The 22,483-nt window shown below is 47.8% G+C and overlaps 1 long non-coding RNA gene across 1 annotated transcript, besides 1 other annotated feature; it reads right to left on the bottom strand.

Annotated features, from left to right (window-relative positions):
- Positions 12,419-13,304: an enhancer, noted in NCBI's record as "H3K27ac-H3K4me1 hESC enhancer chr20:46754717-46755602 (GRCh37/hg19 assembly coordinates)". NCBI's record gives its function as "activates a minimal SCP1, AML or CMV promoter by ChIP-STARR-seq in naive H9 embryonic stem cells {active_cell/tissue: H9 hESC(naive)}" and the evidence as "EXISTENCE:reporter gene assay evidence [ECO:0000049][PMID:30033119]".
- LOC105372640 (uncharacterized) lies at positions 12,464-19,002 on the bottom strand. The gene is made up of 2 exons (XR_936803.2): positions 18,856-19,002; positions 12,464-18,409 (listed from the first exon to the last, which is right to left on the bottom strand). It is a non-coding gene; the product is annotated as an uncharacterized LOC105372640 (long non-coding RNA).
- Positions 19,003-22,483: the final 3,481 nt, after the last annotated feature.

Below are 22,483 nucleotides of genomic sequence, written 5' to 3'. Positions count from 1 at the left end.
TGGAGTAGCCCTTCTTTTATTTCTTTACTTTCTTAATAAACTTGCTTTTGCTTTATTCTATGGACTGGCCCCAAATTCTTTCTTGCATGAGGTCCACGGACCCTCTCCTGGGGCATTGGGACCCCTTTCTGGTAACATTATGTTTCAGTGAGTAACTTCTTGGCCTCCCTTCTCAGAATGTGGGGTCCTTAAGCACAGGACAGGCTGTGTTTGCCTCTAGAGCCCCAGCGTTTGGCTTGGTGGGCTCAGCCCTGGATGCTCCTTAGCACCACTTGGGGGCCCCTGATCCCACATCCAGGCTGCACCCCACACTCTCTGCAGTGGGGCCCAGGCATCAGCATTTTTAAAGCTTCCCAGGAGATGACAAGGCGCTGTCAGGTTGCCCACTAGATGTGCTCCAAGTAAAGGAATGGATGCTGGTCTTCAGAGCGTCTACAATGTCCACACTGCTGCAGTGGGCGTGAATCCAACCCAAAAGCCCAGGCCGGTTAGAAACACCGCTCCTCAGTTTTTCTGTAACTCAACTGAATTTTCATTTTAGGTCCCCATTTGCCTCTGTGGTGGACACTCAGTCTCAGTCGGTATCGAACTCCCCTTTGTGCCAGGACTCCAGCTGGAAGTGGAGGGCATGTGCCCATGGGGATTGCTTAGCGAGTGGTAAGGGGCTCAGCAGGAGGGAGAGTGCAAGCGCCTGGGACCAGGAATTGGAGAGGTAGGGGCTGTTGCTCGCTTGGGTCCAAAGGATCCCCGGAAGGGGTAGGTGATATAGGCTGGGAGAGGAGAGTCAAGTGGAGAACGTGGCCTGGGAGGCAGCTGGGGTCTCTAGTCAAGGGACATAGCCAGGCCATGTTTACCCCACAGGCACAGTCTGTGATGTCAACTCCCTGCCCTCCCGCAGCCGCCTGCAAAGCCCCCAGCAGCCACACCCAGAAGCCAGAGGCCACAAGGGCCATGCTGTGGTACATATGTATCAGCCTCCCAGGACAGAGAGCGGGAGGGAGGAAGGGTGGGTGGACCTGGTGGGACAAGGTGAAAATGCCCAGCAACCCCCTCCCCCAGATCACACTCACCATCTCAGGCAGGGTTGAGTAATGCCAGGTGAAAGCACTGGGGGTGGGGACTAGTACACAGTTTCACCTGTACACCCTGAAATACACGGAGATGTCTGCAGGGACAATGTTCAAATATCCACACAGCACAGTCATGACCAGCCAGAACACTGGTCAGGAACTGAGGCTCACGGTGCTCCAATGCTGGTGGATGCTGAATCCCCTAGTTCTGGTCTGCACTGGGGCATCGCCCTCCCTCCACACCCAGCTAGGTACTTGAAGATCATCCTGCCGCCTCTGCAAACACTAGGAAATGGCAGACCTTATCTGCAATATGTCTTAAATGTGATTTTGAAATTTCATGTCTAAAAATCTGCTCTCATGAATAAATGATCAACTTCTACATGATCACACCTTGGAGGAAAGTTCGTAAGTAAGAATGTGCCCAGTGTCCTGGAAGCAGAAAGAAGCAAGGAGAGGCAGAGGACTGAATTTCCACCTCTGTAGACCTGAATTATGAGCCCTAGCTCGGAACTGGGTGCTGCAGCCCTTGAACAGTCCAGGCAGATGCTGGGAACACCCCAGTGACTGCTGCGCCAGGAGCTGAGTCCAGCAGCAGAGAGGGTGGGCACAGGCTGGGATATGGCGCGACATTGCCTTCATCTGCCTGAGAATACCCACAGCTCCTCTCGGTCCTGGTGGCCTCTGGTAAGTCTCAGCAGGTTCCTAGGCATGAGGATGGGGTTTTGACTGCCGCAGGAGCCTAGCTGGGCAAGTGGCTGGCGATGACTGGCGTAAGCTGGGACCACAGAGGAAGGAGGGATGGGGAGGAAGGAGGAATGGGGGAGGCTTTCTGAGCTGAAATAAATGTCAGAGAGCATCAGCAGGTGCTACTGGCATTTGAAAGCATTGCAAGAGACTTAATGTCCTTGATCCCGTCCCCTGGAATGCCAGCAGTGCCTTTCAGCTATTGTGACAACAAAAACATCACCTTATGTTTCCACAAGCCCCTGAGAAGGTGGGCCTCTTCTGGCCTACACACCATCTACCTATTTTATAAGTGAGAGCAAGATGGGATAGTGAGATGGGATAGTCCCTACCTCTTCCCTTCGCAGGCGGGAACTGGAGCAGCTTGTTTTACTCAGCTTATTGCTGGCCACTCTTCATGCTGGAACCGTCCGGCTGCTCCTCTCTGGCGGGAGCAGACTCTGTGCAGACCCCGCAGTAGAGTCCAAGCGTGTTACAACCCATGCTCTTTCAGCTCTGCTGTCCAGGGATGGCCAAGTACCAACCGACTCAGTGGAGGGTCAGGGTGACAGCCCTTGCCCTCTTGGCACCCGGGTTCTTGTCCGACGAACCAGGAAGAACCAGGTCACATGAACTGTTTGAAGGGTGATGAATGTAGAAGACTTTATTGAGCAGCGAGCAGCTCTCAGTGGAAAGGGAGGCTGGAAAGGGGATGGGAAGGTGGTCTGTCCCTGGAACCCAGCCGTCTCTGGCCAGGCCCCTCTCTAAAACCACAGTATCTGAAGTTAGCTGCATCTATCTCCAACCTCCGATGCTCAGTTGCTTCTCTGCTCGCTGTTCAGCCACTTCTATCCTCGACGCTCAGCCATTTGCGTTGCTTTGCCAGCTGAAGTCTTTAATGGGCACAGGATAGGGGCGGGGCAGGTAAAAAAGGCAACATTTGGGGGGAAAAAGGAGGTCAGCTGTTTTCACTTAGGGCCATGATTCCAGGCTTAAGGGTAAGGTTTAGCTGGGAATCCAGCCTTTCTGTATCAAGAGCACATTCTAGAAATGCCATCGTCTGTGTTGCAGCCTGGGGAGAGCCAGGACTATACCCCAGGTCTTCTACTGCTCCTGGTCCTACCATCATCCACTTTATTACAGTAGAGCTGATCATAAGGGGGTGAAATTTCCATAGGGTTAGTAAGATCTTCTAGCGACAATTACAGCAGTCATAGTAGTCATTGACATTCTTGGTGGTCTACAAAACAGCCATCACCTCCTGCTTCTTCTCTGCACAGAGATCCCCAATTTTGTGTCAAGAAAAGAGATGGGGATCTCAAAATCTCAGAGAAGCTAGCCTGTCTTCAGTCACAGAGGATTAATCTGGCTTAAAACCACCATGGTTCACCCTTTCCTTTTGCCAGTGACTGGTGCAGGAGTTGCCATGTGAATCTGTTCTGGCTAATGAGGTGTAAAGAGAAGTATGTTGGGCGGTTGCCCACTTTGAAATAAAAATTGACAAAATCTCATGACAGAGCTTTTTAACCCTGATTCTTTTACCTTTCTAGGGATGGGAGAGCTGGAGCTTGTCAGCCATCTTGTGACCATGAGGATGCGGATGTGAAGCTGAAAGGTTAACATGCTGAGGAAGGCAGGGAAGAAACATGGAACGACCCCATATCCATGGGGGGCATCGCACTGTTGCCATATCAGCCCTGGGATCTCCAGGCTCCAGATGTCTTGTTCAAATGAGACAAGGTGCTGTCTAAAAAGAGCACAAGACGGAGCTAGTCAGGTGTTCTGAAACTGCAGCCAAGTGCATTCCCAATGATGTAAATATTTTCCTGTTTACAGAGGGCTCTGTTGAGTATCTCACTCATGAGGAAATCAACAAACATGTTTACTGAGCCACAATTATAGGACAAAAATTTTCTAGGCCCTTAGAATACAAAGGTAAGCCGAGTTTCTGATCTCCCAAAAACTGAAAACAGGAGAGGAAACACAACATGGTCATATTCATAATAGCTACCCTCAGGATTTGTCAGGCACTGTGCTAATTCACTTGATCCTGGGTGGTCAAAGCTGAGTGGAACAGCACACGCCTTGCTGGGCAGTAGCCATTCTGCTTCTGTTCATAACCCACCCTGGGCCCAGTAAAAGTCTAAAAGCAAAATTCCGAGGGCGTGACTCCTCAGGCCAGGGGTGGATGGGAGCCTGAGACTCGGGGTCTTTCTTGTTGTTAATGGGGTGGGGTGTGCAGACCCCCACCATCAAAGCTGCAGTGAGGGAAAATTCCAGAAACCCCAGCTAATGGAGACTTGAGCCAACCAGCCAAATGGGACTCCCAACTTCCCAGCTCCTCTGTTTTTCGGAATGCGGACACGTGTCTGTTGTCCTCCACAGTCTGTGTATGGCAGGGAAGTTATCAGTAACTGGCCCCCCGCCCTCCCTGCTACCCCCACCCTATGAATGCCCAGCTCTCAGTTTCCTCTCCCTCTCAAAGCTTTGCCCAGCCTGATGCAAATCCTAATTAAAATTGCACACAGATTGACTTTAAAAAACACTGTTATGATTGAATATCTTTATTAAATCTGGGTAAAATATGTAAACAAACCACATATTACTAGGAAAACTAAGGGGAAGAGGATATGATGGCCACAAGTGCTAAGTTAATTCCTGAAGAAGACTGTGGGTTGTGTCTAGAAAATATCCCAAGGCCTCTATTGAAGGGACCATATTTCAATTTCTTATTTTTTAAATTGTGGTAAGAACATTTAATATGAGATCTACCCTTGTAGAGACTTTTACGTGTGCAATACAGTATTGCTCTCTATAGGCACAATGTCAGGCAGCAGATCTCTAGAACTTATTCATCTTGCTTAAGTGTAATGTTACACCTGTTGATTAGAAAGTTTCCCTTTCACCCTCCCCCCAAGCCTCTGGCAACCACCATTCTACTCTCTGCTTCAATGAGTTTGCCTATTTTTGATACCTCATATAAATGAAATCATGTAGTATTTGTCCTTCTGTGACTGGCCTTTTTCACTTAGCATAATGCTTTCAAGGGTCATCCATGTTGTCATAGATTGCAAGATTTCTTTTTTTTTAAGGCTGAATAATATTTTATTATATGTATATATTACATCACATTTTAAAAATCCATTCATCCATCAATCAAGATTGATTTCACATCTTGGCTACTGTGAACGATGTTGCGATGAAGATGGCAGTGCTGAGATCTCTTCAAGGTCCTAATTGCAGTTCTTTTGAATAAATACCCAGAAATGAGATTGCTGGTTCATATGATAGTCCTACTTTTAGTTTTTTTGAGGAGCCTTTATGCATTTTTCCATAGTAGCTGCACCATTTTGCATTCCCACCAACAGTGTAGCAGGGTTCCAATTTCTGCACATTCTCACTTGTTGTCTTTTGATTTTTTGATAATAGACATCCTAAAAAATGATGTGTGGTGATATCTCATTTTGGTTTTAGTTTGCATTCACCTGATGATTAGGGATGCTGAGCATCTTTTCATATAGCTATTGTATGTGAGACACCACATTAACAGAATGAAGGAGAAAAATCTCGTGATCATGTCAAGTGATACAAAAAGAGCATTTCATGAAACTCAACACTCTTTTATCATAAAAACACTCAAAAACTAGGCATAGAGAAAAATTATTAACTCAACATAATAAAGGCCATATATGAAAAGCCCACAGTTAACATTACACTCAATGGTAAAAAACTGAAAGCTTTTCCAGGAAGAACAGGAAAAAGACAAGGATGCTTACTCTTACCACTTCTATTCAACATAGTACTGGAAGTCCTAGCCAACACAACAAGTCAAGAAAAAGACATAAAAGGCATCTAAATTGGAAAAGAAGAAGTTAAGCTTTCCCTTTTGCAGATGGCATGATCTTATATATGGAAAACCCTAAAAACTCTTAAAAAAAACCTGTTAGAATTAATAAACAAATTCAGTAAAGTTGCAGGATACAAAGTCAACATACAAAAATCAATTGTGTTTCTATATACTCACAACAAACTATCTGAAAAGGAAATTAGAAAATCAATCCAGTTTACAATAGCATTAAAAAAATACTTAGGAACAAACTTAACTAAGGAAGTGAAAGATCTGTACACTGAAAACTACAAAATATTGATGAGAAAAATTAAAGAAGACACAAACAAATGGAGAGATGTCTCATGTTCATGGATTGGAAGACTTAATTCTGTTAAAGTGTCCCTACTACCCTAAGCATTCTACAGATTCAAAGTAATCCCTATCAAAATCACATGGAATTTTATTTTTACAGAAATACAAAAAAATTCAGAAATTTATATGGAACCACAAAAGACCCAGAATACCCAAAATAATCTTGAAAAACAAGAACAAAACCAGAGGCATAACATTTCCTGATCACAAAATATATTACAAAGTTATAGTCATTAAAACAGTATGGTACTGGCATAAAGACAGACCTATAGATGAATGGAATTATAATAGAGGGCCCAGAAATAAATACCCAAATATATGGTAGGATGATTTTCAACATGGGTGCCAAGAATACACAATAGGGAAAGGATAGCCTCTTCAATAAATAGTGGTGGGAAAATTGGATATACATATGCAAAAGAATGAAATTAGATCCTTATCTTTGTCTTACACCATTTACAAACATCACCTAAAAATGGATTAAAGCCTTAAATGTAAGATCTAAAACTATAAAGCTCCTAGAGGAAAGCATAGGGGAAAATTTCATGACATTGGTCTTGGCAGTGATTTCATGGATACAACACCAAAAGCATGGGCAACTAAAGCAAAAATAGACAAGTACGATGCCAAACTAAACAGCTTCCGCACAGCGAAGGAAACAATCAGTAGAGTAAAAAGGTAGCCTACAGAATGAGAGAAAATATTTGCAAACTATGTATCTGATAAGGGATAATTTCCAAAATATATAAGGAACTCCTACAACTTTATAGCAAAAAATCCCTAATAACCCAATTAAAAAATGGCTAAGGATTTCAATAGACATTTCTCCAAAGAAGCATGACTTTTAATTAGCCTAAGCAGCCTTACAGAAGGTGGGATATGGAGCAGGGTAATTGTGCAGAGTGATTTTCCCCTAAAAGATCAGCTGCCCTGGATGTCCCAGCTGGTGGGAAGATGTTCAGCCCATGCTGGGGCAGGGCCACAGAAGGGCTGAGCTGGACATAACCAACCACAACTTTCACCCGGATGTATCTCTTTGCAGCCAGGAGGCCATGACTTTTAATGGAGGGTTGCAGATCTATTTTATGTATGCTAGATGAGATTTTAAACAGACCTCAAAGAGCTAAGACAACTGCCCCCAAAAGGGCAGGGCTGGATTTTCTATCTTGGACCAAATAAGCAGGGATGAAGGTAAAGGGAGGGGTATAGAGCCAAACCTGCTTTTTATGACTGGGAAGGGGGAAGCGGGGGTCTGAATCTAGATTTAAAGGAGGAAATAAATAGAAAATGAAATTCCTTTTTCTTAACAAATAAAATAATCGGGGCACTGTGGTTTCTTAGAGGAGAAATTATTTCACTCTTCCTCCTTCTCCAAAGCTATAGATTTTTCTACTCCTTTGCTCGTTAATCAACTAGAAATGTGACTTGGGGGAGGCAGAGCAACAGCATTTTTTGCTCTGGAGTTCATTAGGAATTCTGGAAAGCTGACATCATAACTCACTCCTAGTGCAGCTGGCTGCCAACTTCCCAGAATCTGAGGTTGGGGAGCCCATTTAAAGCTGCAGGCAGCCTTTCTGCAAAATAACTCAGCTCAAATAGGATGTCTATTTATAAGCAGGACATCAGGATTTTCCTAGGAGTCTAGACTTCAACAGCTCCTTTAGTCCAGGAAAATGTCGGCTTAAAAATTGTATTACCACAGGCTGGGTGTGGTGATTCATATCTGTTATCCTAGCACTTTGGGAGGCCGAGGCAGGAGGATCACTTGAGGATGGGAGTTCGAGACCAACCTGGGCAACATGGCTAAACCCCCAATTCTATTTTTAAAAACAAAAAAATTAACCAGGAGTGGTGGTGCATGCCTGTAGCTACTACAGGCACTTGGTAGGTTGAGGTGGGAGGACTGCTTGAGCCCAGGAGTTCAAGGTGACAGGCAGCTGTGATTGTGGCACTGAACTCCAGCCTGAGCAACAGAGTGAGAAAACCCTATAGCTAGTAAGAGAGCAAAAACTAAGTTAGACGTGTCAGAAATAATAACAAAAGCCAGTAGGAAAATAGGATTCTCATTGCTAAAAAGCAGACGTTCATAAGACACATACCTGCACGTTGCTATTTTGCCAATTTAAGTGTGACCTATAAAAATAATGTAAAAGAGTTGGTTATTGACAATCTTTTCCCATAAAATATTTAGAAGTCTTGCTTCCTTATTTTATGAACTTGACTTTTTTAAGGAGGAGAGATGGATTATTCAATTCAACAAATGGGCAATGAGCTCCAACAAAAGGCTGCCTTGTTTATCTTGAATTTCGGAAGTGAAATAGACACGGGGTCTTGATGCCCCATCAAGGGCATTGCCCCAAGGGCAATGCATATCTGAAGTGTTGGGCTGACAATCTCAGCCCTCCTTAAGAAATAACATCGATCGTAAGCACCTTCAGAAAATACAGGCAGAAGAAACACTCCTAACTCATTTTATGACACTCACTTATGACACTATAATACCCAAATATGACAGATAGTCAGATTTCAGCACTGAACAGATAGTCAGATTTGGGTATTATAGTTTCAAGACATCTCAAATTTATTCCAATGTCTCTGGGCTATGCTGTTTCCAGCAAATGTCTACCAGGAGCTTCCACGATAGGCACGATACCTTTTGGTGGAAAAGAACATCTACTCGCTACCGTTTTTTTCCTCCCTGGACTAGTGTCATCTGCCCATAGACAATAGCTTTTTCTTTAGTACTTTTGTGAAACCTTCATCTCATCCACTCCAATGTCTTTGATTGGCCATTATGTTCACCAGGTTCACAATAAAGTCAGAAAGAGGTGACAGTATAACATTGCTTCTCCTTCTTCTCCCATGTTCAATTCAATGTGTCAGAGGCTCCTGTTGGTTCTTTCTTCCAAAACATTGGAATCTGAATGCAACTCCTGGTCTCTGCCGCTGTCATCGTGGGTTAAGCCCCATCATCCTTCTCCTGGTTTGCTGACAGCTCCCTAACTTGACTTCTTGCTTCCCTTGTCTATAGACTCCTATGTACAGAAATGAAACTGTTCAAGGATATTCTTTTTAGCCTTTTTATTTTAAAATCAAACACAGGTACAAAAAAAACACAAAAATGTATAGCTTAGTGAGATATTATACACAAATATTCTTATCACCAAGACTAAGTCAAGAAAGAGCACCTGGCCAGAGTCCCCTTCACGGCTGCATCCCAATCACAGTCTGTCCCTTCCTCCCTCCAAAAGTAACCCTCATGCTGATTCTCATAGTCAACAACCTCCCTACAATCTGCATGGCTTAATCACCCCCATGTGGCTCCCTAGACAGCATAGTTCACGTTACCCATTTGGTAAATCTTGGTAAGTCTCTTAAATTTCCAGATTTCCCTTCCATGCCTGTCTTTTTCTTAAAACTTCTTTGTCACAGTGCCTGAACCCTGTGACCTATAAAGATTTTCACAGTCTGGATTTTGGCGAATCCGAATTTATGGTGCAGTCAGCACATTCCTGTCTCTGTCCTGTGTATTTCTTGCAAAATAGCAGCTGGATCCAGCAACTTGTTCAGAATTAAGTGTGATTGTGAAAAAAAAAAAAAAGTCTGAACTATAAAGAAGCTATTGGGGAACAGTTGTAAAGTTGTAAAGTTAGATCATGATGTTAAAGCCCACCCACCTAAGACTGCCAGGAACTTCCCTGCAGTCACAGTCAGTTTATTTAGCTTGCTGCAGTCAGGGAGATTCCCACGCCCATGGCCACCTGGGGGCATCTCAGTAAGGGGGAAGGGGCAGTGCTTTTTAGAGGACCTAGGCTTCTACAGAATGGTTCCAAAAAGGGATTAAGGAGGCAAGGTCAAGAAGTGAGGGCAACTTGGTGATTGCGTATCTTAAATACTTTATCTCAGGAGTGGGAAGCTTGAAGCAGGCTAGAGTTGTCACTGGTAAAGAGGCAGCTGTCACTCATGTTAGAAAAGGGGCATGTTCAGTCATTTCTGTGGCTGCAGAGTGGTCTTATCCCTGCCTACCTCTAAACACAGTCAACTTGTGGCCTTGTCTGAACGAGTTCATATTCTTTGAGTGTGGTTCATGTCGACTCAGGAGCATCATGGCCTGGAGGGTTGTGTTTCTCAGTTCCCTCCATAGTCTAGATGCAAACAGGACTGTTTTTTTTTTTTTTCTCCCTTACCAATGATCATATTATGGAAGGCCTTGGTTTTCACCCTGAGAAGGTTTGTATATAACTTGGCAGATGAGACAGAGTTATCAAAGATAGTTGGGTGCTGGAGTAATCAAGTTAGAATTGTACTTGAGAGATCAGGTATCTGTCAGTCTTTTGAAAGAGAAAGGACAGGAGGTAGGGTATTAAGGGCAATTATGGTCCAGGCTAGAGAAGGTGCAATGCCAATGAAGGTACCAGGCATAGGAAGAAAACAAGCTGACCAATAGAGGAGGCATCTGAGGGAGGGAACAACAGGCTGTCCCCTGGATTGGATGCTGGCGGTGGAAGAAGATAAAGTAGGAGGTGCTGATGTTTGCTCACCCAACAGCTGTCCCCACCCTACTTGCTAACAGGATTTTTTTCTAGGCAAAATGGAAATGGATCACAATTGGTCAAAACCAGCCTTGGCTATGCCAGTCACCTTTGCCAGATACTTCCCAGCTCCCTTTACAGTGAGGACTTCCCTATGACTCATTCTGGCCCAAAAGACCGAAGAGGATTGTGACAGGTCTCCTAAGAAAGGTTTTCATTTCTTATAAAAATAACAGGTGTAAAGAGGGTGTTCCTTTGAATTGCCCCTATTTCGTTGTTTTGGCTTTGATCCTAAACTGGAAGCATTGAAGCCAAGCCTTTGATTAGCTCCCATTTTCTACAATAGGAAATTGGAATACGTAATGCCCAGATCTGCACCCCACCCCCCAGTCTTTTCCTAAAAACACTGGTATTTTCTTTCCTAAAAACACTGGTATTTTCTTTTCCTATCTTTTGAGATGGAGGTATTGCTCGTGTCTGGGTGAATTGCTTATGCCAATGAGATGTTCGTAGACACGGCACAGGCAGAAGCCTGGAATGTGTCGGCACTGCCAGGCCTGCCCTCTAATGCTCTTGATTTTTCCCACGAGACGAGCGTGCCCCAGGGAACTTTGGCTCCAGCTGCAGGATGAGAGGCATGTGGAGCACGCAGGGTTCCAACCCTCAGCCTGGAGTCAAGCCCAGACTAGATCAGCCTAAGCCCAGCCAAGCCACGGGTGCAGGAGTGAAAAGCAAATGCTAACTGTCCATGACATTGACTTTCAAAGGGGCGTGTCATGTTATGTGGCTCATCCCAGCAACAATGAAGATATTTCTCTATCAGTCAGTCGGTAAATAATTATTGACAATGTGCAAGGAAGCTGGAGTGATTGGAGTAGATTTGGTCACTATTCTTATGGAGCTTATTTTCTAGAGGGGAAGACATATGATGGATCAATAAATATAAATTATTCTATTAGGTTGGTGCAGCAGTAATTCCAGCACTTTTTTGCCAGTAAAGGTAATGGCAATCAAAAGTGGGGAGGAGCCGGCGCTGCAGTTCATTGAAAGTAATGACAAAAACTGCGATGACTTCTGCACCAACCTAATAGAATAAATTACGAGTGCGCAAAACGCTGTGATGGGAAAGTTCCAAGTGCCAGGACAGCATCTAGCTTCCTGGACTCAGGAGATGGGGGTTTTCAACCTAAGCAAGGTTAAGTCCAAGTGGTGGGGGCAGGCGGGGGGGCGATATTTCAGTGGAGACTCCAAGGATGAATGGAAATTAGAAAAGTGAACGCAGATGGTGAGGGGGGAGGGGTTTCAGGCACAGAGAACAGCATGTGCAAAGGCCTAGCGGGGAGGACATCGTGTGTTCTGGATGTCCTCCCCGCTGAGGGGCGGGGACTGAGGGGCAGCCAGCAGGCTGGAGCTGAGCGGGTGGAGAGGAGGATGGGGAGCCGGGCAAAGGCGCTCCACGCAGGGGGCACAGCAGGGGCAAAGGCCCGGAGTCAGGCCTGAGCCTGTGTGGTTTCAGGAAGTGACAGAGGCCTGTCTGGGAGGAAAGTAACAGCAGAGGGGAGACCATAAGGTCAGGGCAGAGGGCAGGGCCGTGCTGGGCACTGTGGGCTGTGGATAGGACCTGGCATTTATGCTCGGGTGAGGGGAACATGTTAGAAGATTTTAAGGAGGGCAGGAACATCTGGGGATAACGTGTATTCTAGAATCTCAACCAAGTAAATTCTAGTTTGAATGTTCACAAGACTTCTGCACAGGCAAAGTGAAAGATCGTTTCTAGAGCTGTGAGATAAAATCATAGTAAAAGAGAGTTACTAAGTTTTTAAAGGTTATTTCAAATGGTGGATTTCCACCTTACAATTGAATATAAGTAGATTGTAAGGTTGATGGAAAGTAGAAAAGTTTCCTGACTTGTGTGAATATAAAAGAAACATCAGTTTGAAAGAAAACATTTATTTATTTACTTCCTCTGCAGTTTTCCTGACTGCTACATTTCATGAGAAGGGATTATTCTTGAGGGTTCTGGAGCTGCAGCCCAGGGGAGGAGCCAGTGCTGCCACTGACACCTCAGGGTCGTGGAGGTGAAAATCCCAGAGGAACAGGTGCTCCTGTTGCAGTTTGAGGTTCCTGGAGCTGGAGACGCAGGGAGAAGATGGCGCTGCTGTTCTAATTTAAGGATCATGAAGCCGGAGACGCAGAAAGGAGCTGGTGCTGCCACTGCTCACATCTGAGGGTTTTAGAGCTGGAGCCTGGGGGTGGAGCTGCTGCTGCCTTTGAAGTCTGAGAGTCATTGACCTGGAGGTCCAGGAAGGAGCTGGTGCTGCTGTTCTAGTTTGAGAGTCATGGAGCTGCAGACCCAGGGAGGAGCAATGTTGTCATAGTTCAAGGGTCAGGAAGCTGATGACACAGGAAGGAGAGATCTTGATCTGCTTTGAGGGTCGTGGAGCTGCAGACCCAGGGAGGAGCAATGTTGTCATAGTTCGAGGGTCCGGAAGCTGGCAACACAGGGAGGAGAGATCTTGTTTTAGTTTGAGGGTTGTGGAGCTGCAGACCCAGGGAGGAGCAATGTTTTTGTAGTTCCAGGGTCCGGAAGCTGGTGACCCAGGGAGGAGAGATCTTGTTCTAGTCTGAGGGTCGTGGAGCTGCAGATCCAGGGAGGAGCAATGTTGTTATTTGGGGACTGGAAGCTGCAGACCTAGGGAGGAGAGGTCTTGTTCTAGTTTGAGGGTCATGGAGCTGCGGACCCAGGGAGGAGCAATGTTGTTTTAGTTCGAAGGTTCGGAAGCTGGTGACTCAGGGAGGAGAGGTCTTGTTCTAGTCTGAGGGTCGTGGAGCTGCAGATCCAGGGAGGAGCAATGTTGTTATTTGAGGGACTGGAAGCTGCAGACCTAGGGAGGAGAGATCTTGTTTTAGTTTGAGGGTCGTGGAGCTGCGGACCCAGGGAGGAGCAATGTTTTCATAGTTCAAGGGTCCGGAAGCTGGCGACACAGTGAGGAGAGGTCTTGTTCTAGTTTAAGGGTCGTGGAGCTGCAGACCCAGGGAGGAGCAATGTTGTTATTTGAGGGACTGGAAGCTGATGACACAGGGAGGAGAGATCTTGTTTTAGTTTGAGGGTCATGGAGCTGGAGACCCAGGGAGGAGCAATGTTTTCGTAGTTCGAGGGTCCGGAAGCTGGTGACCCAGGGAGGAGAGATCTTGTTGTAGTCTGAGAGTCATGGAGCTGCAGATCCAGGGAGGAGCAATGTTGTTATTTGAGGGACTGGAAGCTGCAGACCTAGAGAGGAGAGGTCTTGTTTTAGTTTGAGGGTCGTGGAGCTGCAGACCCAGGGAGGAGCAATGTTGTTATTTGAGGGACTGGAAGCTGATGACACAGGGAGGAGAGATCTTGTTTTAGTTTGAGGGTCGTGGAGCTGCAGACCCAGGGAGGAGAGATCTTGTTTTAGTTTGAGGGTCGTGGAGCTGCAGACCTAGGGAGGAGCCATGTTTCCATAGTTCAAGGGTCAGGAAGCTGGCAACACAGGGAGGAGAGGTCTGGTTCTAGTTTGAGGGTTGTGGAGCTGCAGACCCAGGGAGGAGCAAGGTTGTTTTAGTTTGAGGCTCCGGAAACTGGCGACGCAGGGTGGAGAGGTCTTGTTCTAGTTTGAGGGTGCGCCCAGGGAGGAGCAATGCTGTCATAGTTCGAGGGTCAGGAAGCTGATGACACAGGGAGGAGAGATCTTGATCTGGATTGAGGGTCGTGGAGCTGCAGACCCAGGCAGGAGCAATGTTTTTGTAGTTCGAGGGTCCAGAAGCTGGCGACACAGTGAGGAGAGGTCTTTTTCTAGTTTGAGGGTCGTGGAGCTGCAGACCCAGGGAGGAGCAATGTTGTTTTAGTTCGAAGGTTCGGAAGCTGGTGACCCAGGGAGGACAGATCGTGTTCTAGTCTGAGGGTCGTGGAGCTGCAGATCCAGGGAGGAGCAATGTTGTTATTTGAGGGACTGGAAGCTGCAGACCTAGGGAGGAGAGGTCTTGTTCTAGTTTGAGGGTCATGGAGCTCCCGACCCAGGGAGGAGCAATATTTTCATAGTTCAAGGGTCCAGAAGCTGGCGACGCAGGGAGGAGAGGTCTCATTCTAGTTTGAGGATCATGGAGCTGCTGACCCAGGGAGGAGTAATGTTTCTGTTGTTCGAGGGTCAGGAAGCTGGCGACCCAGGGAGGAGAGATCTTGATCTGGTTTGAGGGTTGTGGAGCTGCTGACCCAGGGAGGAGCAATGTTGTCATAGTTCAAGGGTCAGGAAGCTGACGACACAGGGAGGAGAGATCTTGATCTGGTTTGAGGGTCGTGGAGCTGCGGACCCAGGGAGGAGCAATGTTTTCATAGTTCGAGGGTCCGGAAGCTCGCGACCCAGGGAGTAGAGGTCTTGTTCTAGTCTGAGGGTGGTGGAGCTGGAGATCCTTGGACGAGCTGGTGCTGCAGTTTAAATCTGTGGATCCTGGAGCTGGAGCCCTAGGCATTAGCTGGTATTGCTGTTGTTCATATATGAGGGTTATGGGGCTTGAGGTACAGGGAGGAGACGCTGCTGCTGTTCAAATCTGCGGGTCGTGTAGCTGGAGAGCGGGGAGGAGGTAGTCCTGGTGTCTAGTGTGAGGGTGGTGGAGCTGTAGACCTGGGGAGGAGCTGGTGCTGCTGTGTAGTTTGAGGGTCATGGAACTGGAGACCTAGGGAGGAACCAGTACTACCGCCATTGAAGTCAGAGGGTTGTGGATCTCGAGTTTTCGGGGACAGCCCGTGCTGCTATGTAACTGTGGGGAGGATCCAGTGTGTCAGGTGATGTCTGAGGGTTTGGGAGCTGGAGACCCAGGGAGGAGCCGGTGCTCCTCTTCTAGTTTGAGGGTAGTGGAGCTGGAAATCCTGGGAAGAGCCAGTGCTGCCATTTAAATCTGTGGGTCCTGGAGCTGGAACCCTTGTGGGAAGCCGGTTCTGCCATTCATGTCTTAGGGTCGTGGAGCTGGAAACCCAGGGAGGCAGCGGTGCTGCTGTTCTAGTTTAAGGATCATGAAGCTGGAGATCTGGACAGGAGCTGGTGCTACCATTATTCAAATCTGAGGGTTGTGGAGCTGGAGCCTTGGTGAGTTGCCGGTGCTGCCTCATCTGAGAGTTGCTGAGCTGGAGATCCAGACAGGAACCTGTGTTGCTGTTGTAGTTTGACGGTCATGGAGCTGGAGACTCAGGGAGGAGGGGTGCGGTTCTAGTCTGAGGGTTGTGGAGCTGGAGACCCAGGGAGGAGCTGGTGCTGCTGCTGTTTAAGGCTGAAGGTTGTGGAGCTGGAGACCAGGGAGGGAGCTGCTGTTGCTGTTGATCAAGTCAGAGGGTCATGGGGCTTGAGGTACAGGGAGGAGCTGGTGCTGCTGTTGCAGGTTTAGGGTCATGGAGCTGGAAATCTAGGGAGGAGCTGCTGCTGCTGTTCAAGTTTGAGGGTCGTGTAGCTGGAGAGCGGGAAGGAGGTAGTCTTGATGTCTAGTGTGAGGGTGGTGGAGCTATAGACCTGGGGAGGAGCCGGTGCTGCTGTGTAGTTTGAGGGTCATGGAACTGGAGACCTTGGGAGGAGCCAGTGCTACTGAGGGTCGTGTATCTGGAGCTTTGGGGAACAGCCCGTGCTGCTGTTTAACTGTGGGGAGGATCTGCTGTGTTAGTTGAAGTTTGAGGGTTTGGGAGCTGGAGACCCAGGGAGGAGCTGATGATGCCATTCTATTTTGAGGGTCATGGATCTGGAGACCTGGGGAGAGGCCGGTACTGCTGTTGTAGTTTGAGGTTCGTGGAACTGGAGACAGGGGGAGGAGCCGGTGCTGCTGTTCATGTCTGAGGGTTGTAGAGCTGGAGACCCAGGGAGAAGCCCGTACTACGGCTTTTTAAGTCTGAGGGTCGTGGAGCCTGAGACCTGGGGAGGGGCCAGTGCTGCTGTTCAAATGGCTCATTCCGGGGTCTCCAGCTCCATGACCTTCAAACTAGGACAGCAGCAGCAGCTCCTCCCGGGGTCTTCCAGCTCCATGACCCTCACACTAGAACAGCAGCAGCAGCTCCTCCCGGGGTCTTCCAGCTCCATGACCCTCACACTAGAACAGCAGCACCGGCTCCACCCTGGGTCTCCAGATCCATGACCCTCAAACTAGAACAGCAGCACTGACTCCTCCCCGGGTCTCCAGCTCTACAACCCTCAGACTTGAGGAGTTGGAGACTCGGGGAGGAGCCAGGGCTGCTTTTCTACTTTGAGGGTTGTGGAGCTGGAGACCCAAGATGCAGCAGCTGCTGCTATTCTAGTTCGAGGGTCTTGGAGCCAGAACCTTTTTGAGGAGCTGGTGCTGCCTTTCAAGTCTGAGAGTCATTGAGCTGGAGTTCCAGGGAGGAACCGGTGTTGCTATTCTAGTCTGAGTGTAGTGAAGCTGGAGACCCAAGGAGGAGCCGGTGCTGCTGTGTAGTTTGAGGGTCGTGGAACTGGAGACTTAGGGAGGAGTTGGTGCTATCGCCCTTTAAGTCAGAGGGTCGTGGATCTGGAGCTTTGGGGAACAGCCCGTGCTGCTGTTTAACTGTGGGGAGGGTCCGGTGTGTCAATTGAAGTTTGAGAGTTTGGGAGCTGGAGACCCAGGGAGGAGCCGGTGATGCCATTCTATTTTGAGGGTCGTGGATCTGGAGACCTGGGGAGAGGCCGGTACTGCTGTTGTAGTTTGAGGTTCGTGGAACTGGAGACAGGGGGAGGGGGCGGTGCTGCTGCTGTTCATGTCTGAGGGTTGTAGAGATGGAGACCCAGGGAGAAGCCCGTACTACGGCTTTTTAAGTCTGAGGGTCGTGGAGCCTGAGACCCGGGGAGGGGCCAGTGCTGCTGTTCAAATGGTTCCTCCCCGGGTCTCCAGCTCCATGACCTTCAAACTAGGACAGCAGCACCAGCTTGGAGCCAGAAACTTTCTGAGGAGCCAGTGCTGCCTTTCAAGTCTGAGACTTGTAAGAGCTGGAGACCCAGGGAGGAACAAGTGTTGCTGTTCTAGTCTGAGGGTAGAGAAGCTGGAGACCCAAGGAGGAGCCTGTGCTGCTGTTCATGTCTGAGGATTGTGGAGCTGGAGAACCAGAGGGGAGCTGGTGCTGCTGATCGTGTTTGAAGGCTGTGGAGCTGGAGATCCCAGGAAGAGCCGGTGCTGCCGTTTATATCTGTGGGTCTTGGAGCTGGAGCCCTAGCGGGGAACCCGGTCCTGCCATTCATGTCTTAGGGTCGTGGAGCTGGAAACCTAGGGAGGTGGTGGTGCTGCTGTTCTAGTTTAAGGATCATGAAGCTGGAGACCTGGACAGGAGCTGGTGCTACCGCTGTTCAAATCTGAGGGTCATGGAGCTGGAGCCTTGGGGAGGTGCCGGTGCTGCCTCTCAAGTCTGAGGGTTGTTGAGCTGGAGATTCAGGGAGGAGCCGGTGTTGCTGTTGTTGTTGGAGGATTGTGGAGCTGGAGGCCGAAGAGGAGCTGGTGTTGCAGTTCAAGTTTGACGGTCGTGTAGCTGGAGACCTAGGGAGGAGCTGGTGCTACCACCGTGTAAGTTGAGGGTTGTGGAGCTGGTGGCGCTGGGGAACAGCCAGTGCTATAGTTGAATTTTGAGGGAGCTGGAGACCCAGGGAGTAGCTGGTGCTGCTGTTCTAGTTTGAAGGTTGTGGAGCTGGAGGCTTGGTGGGAGCTGGAGCTGCCTCCCAAGTCTGAGAGTCATTGAGCTGGAGATCCCCAGGGGAGCTGGTGCTGCTGTTGTAGTTTGAGGATTGTGGAGCTGGAGACCTGGGGCAGAGCTGGTGTTGGAGTTGGAGTTTGAGGGTCAGGGAGCTGGAGATCTGGGGAGGAGCCAGTGCTGCTGTTTAAGTCTGAGGGTCGTGGAGCTAAACATGGAGCCAAAGTTGGGGAAGTAGAGAGAGAGAGTTACAGGATGACCCTGGAAATGGTAGACGTAGCTGTACCCCAAGCAAGCTAAGCTTGGGAACTTCTCAATGCTAGTGATCAGTGCATTCTTTTTCCTCTTACACAGTTTGGATTTGTTTTCCATCTCACGAGACAGAAAGATCCTGATTAATACCCTTAGGAATTGAAAAGCTAAAAAAACTAAAGGATGTTGGTAATAATAATAATAGGAATTAAAACATGATTATCCTGGCTGACAGAGACAAAATCACACACACAAAATATATATCTTTAAATCAGTTAGTAAAATAAAAAATAAATGGAAAAATAGACCCAACCAAAGCTATAAAAAGTTGTTTCATGGAGAAGCGATGGAGGACAGAGATTAATCTGAGAGTTGCTATTAATGAAAAAACTTTAAACTTACCATTTTTCCCGTGAGGTTTGGTGTAGAATGATATTGTGTGAGTTCTGGCAGCTGAGTCACTTCACACAGCCCGGTGATGCAATAGTTGTCACAGAAGGACCCTCTCCCAGTTGGTCCTGCCTCTCTGCTACAATGAGTGTCGCCTCTGATCCCCAACAGCTGACTGTGTCTTGAGACCACGCCCATGAGCACAAGAGTTTCCACGGTGAAGGTTCCTGGATGGAACGCCGTGGATGTTCCTAATGTTCCTTCCTGATGTTCACCTGCCATCTTGCTATTTAATGCAATGTCTTCTAAATATTGAATAGAAAAAAGTATTTGTCCAATATGGGCAAGGTATGAAGAATATGAATACACTGGACACACAGACAGGGAGGGGCACCCACAGCAAACTCCCTTCGCCTGGGAGCAGGTGGGGTCCTTGAGTCCTATGTCACCTGTTTCTTCCTCCGCCTTGGCCTACAGGCCCCATGTGATCTGACCTCTGCCTGCCTCTCCGACTCCATCTCCCCTCCCGCTCCTGTTCTTTCAACAATTATGTTACAGCCTCAGTGAATATCACAAGGACCCTGAATCACGGTGGCTTTACTAAGACAGAGGTTCATTCCTTTCACATGAAAGTTCAAGCCAGTCGGGTGATTCTTCTCTGTGCATTTTTCAGGGTCTTAGGGTACTTCCATCTTGCTGCTTTGACTTCTTTAGGGTGTAGCTTCCCCCACAGTGTCCATCCTATCTACTACCAGCCAGCAGGGAGGGGAGAAGAGAACAAGAGGACACAAATCTTCCTTCCTCTAATGGCAGTTGCTGTGCACTGGCCTCATGTGCATTGGCCACTGCCTGGTCACGTGGCCACTGCTGGGGTGCTGGGAAGTTTTCATCCTGGATGCCAGTGCCCACCTGGGTGACTCCTGAGATCGAGGGCAGAGAGGACATGAAAGAGAGTCACTGGCTCTTCCCACCATCATGCACGTTGCTCCAGTCTAGGGCGACCCACTGCCTCAGCTTGCTTAGGACTGAGGCGGATGATGGGGCACAGACCTCTCAGTTTTATAATAGGGGAAGTTCTAGGCAAATCATCCCAGCTTGGCTGAGACTCAGAAGTTTCCTGGGACATGGGATTTCTAGTGTTAAAACCAGGAAAGTTCTGGGCAAACCGGGACAAGTTGGTCCCCTTTACTCCAGACCCACTGGCTTCCGTTCTGCTCCTCCAGCAGGCCAGGCCAGGGCCTGCCGTGGGGTCTTTGTATCTGCTGTTACCCCATCTGGGATTCCCTTTCTGCAGCTCTGTGCGGTGCTCACTCCTCTTGTGTTGAGGAAAGGCTGCTCTCTGGGTGTCCCCGGGTGCCTGGTGTGCTGTACTCAGCACTACATGCTCTGTGAAAATCCCTGCATGCTCTTCATAGAATGAGATCGGTTCTTTCCACCCTTCCCTGCCCACTTCAGTTTGAAAGTCTCTGAGGATTATTAATTTTTATTCTCTTCAGCGCTGAAAGATACATCTTTTTCCCTGAATCTGTGGCTGTGTTCATGCATAGTCAGATAAATCTGATATTGATAATAACCTGAATGAAAAACATGTATTAAATCCCAAGATTATAATGTAGGAAGCAGGGATTCTGAAGAGATGTGTAAGCCTAATAAAGACCAAAGGGTGTGGATTAAAAGGAAATATGGGGTGGAGAAACATTTCATGAAATAGAACCCCACCTCTTGTGTGAGTTAATTAGTACAAGCTTTCTAGAGGGCAATTGGCAATTGGCCAATGAAAGTGCATAACTTTTGGTCCCAAATTCATTTATAGGCATTTATCCCTAGGAAATAGTCAGAAAAATACACAAAGATGAATCTCTAAGGATTTTTATAAGACGAAGTAGGAAGTATGAATGCCCACTGGTGTTCCTGCACCCTGGCACCAGTGCTCCCCTCTCCTAGTGAGTGGGCACAGGCTACATTTTCCCAGGCTTCCTTGCCATGAGTTGTGGCCATGTGACCAGGTTCTGGCCAATGGGAGGTAATAAAAGTATTGGGTGGCATTTTTGGAAACCCCTTTCTGTAACTTCTGTCTTGATATGGTTTGGATGTTGGTCCCCTCCAAATCTCATGTTGAAATGTGATCCCTGATGCTGGAGGTGGGGCCTGGTGGGAGGTGTTTTGGTGATGTGGGCAGATCCCTCTCACAATGGGTTGGTGCTGTCCCAGTGGCAATGACAGAGTTCTTGCTCTGAGTTTATGGGAGATCTGGTTGTTTAAAGGGCCTGGCATGTCCTCCTCCCTCTCTTGCTCTTTCTCTCGCCATGTGATGTACCTGCTTCCTTTCACCTTCTGCCATGATTGGAAGCTTCCCGAGGCCTCCTCAGGAGTTGATGGTGGTGTCATGCTTGTACAGCCTGCAGAACTGTGAGCCAATTAAACCTCTCTTCTATAAATTACTCAGCCTCAGTTATTCCTTTAGGCAATGCAGATGGGCTGACATATATCTTTAGTGTCATTTCTTAGTTGTTCATCCTTTGACCTGCTTCCTGGAATAAGCATATGATGGTTGGAGCTATTCTTGTCACCTTGAACCTTGAGGATTAGGCTTCTACCCTGCGGATAGCAGAATGTCCTCTGGAAGGAAATGAAAGTCCCTAACGCCACCCTAGACTGACAACTTCCAGTTTTGTTTTTACTTTTTTGTTTTTTGAGACAGAGTCTTGCTCTGTTGCCCAGGGTGGAGTGCAATGGCGTGATCTCAGCTCATTGCAACCTCCGCCTCCCAGGTTCAAGTGATTCTCATGCCTCAGCCTCCCGAATAGCTGGGATTACAAGTGTGTGCCACCATGTTCAGCTAATTTTTTTTATTTTTAGTAGAGACGGGGTTTCACCATGTTGACCAGGCCAGTTTCGAAATCATGACCTCAAGTGATCCACTCGCTTCAGCCTCCCAAAGTGCTGGGATTACAGGTGTGAGCCATTGCACCCATCCCAGTCTTGCTTTTTGTGAGATAAATTTCTATCTTGGCTGAAGTTACATCACTGATAGGGGATATAACCATAACTGGATAAAAGGTAGGAAATTGATTTAATACTTATATCTACACATGCCCATACCAAAAATGATAGTGATTTGTTGTTATCTATGTGTAGATATGGACACAAAATATTATTTAGAGTAAGTAAAGCTCTTTTTTTTTTTTTTGAGACAGAGTCTCACTCTGTTGCCCAGGCTGGAGTACGGTGGTGCAATCTTGGCTCACTGCAACCTCCGCCTCCCAGGTTCAAGCGACTCTCATGCCTCAGCCTCCTGAGTAGCTGGGACTACAGGCGCACACCACCACGCCCAGCTATTTTTTTTTTTTTGTATTTTTAGTAGAGACAGGGTTTCACCATGTTGGTCAGGCTGGTCTCTAACTCCTGACCTCAGATGATCCGCCCTCCTTGGCCTCCCAAAGTGCTGGGATTACAGGCGTGAGCCACCTCGCCCAGCCAGCATTGGTATTTTCTGACTGCTGATGGTAGGAGGTGCTGTTCCCAGTTGCCCAAAACATCCTAATCAACCCCCAGGGAGCCACAGATGACAGGAATGTCTTTGAACCTGGACAACTCACAGGATAGTGGGGTCTGCATGGAAATAGGAAAGTCTGGGGAG

The sequence above is a fragment of the Homo sapiens genome, chromosome 20 (assembly GCF_000001405.40).
Source record: "Homo sapiens chromosome 20, GRCh38.p14 Primary Assembly".
Classification (NCBI taxonomy): Eukaryota; Metazoa; Chordata; class Mammalia; order Primates; family Hominidae; genus Homo; species Homo sapiens.
The sequence above is the reverse complement of the archived record's forward strand: the minus strand, read 5'-3'. Positions and strand labels throughout refer to the sequence as shown.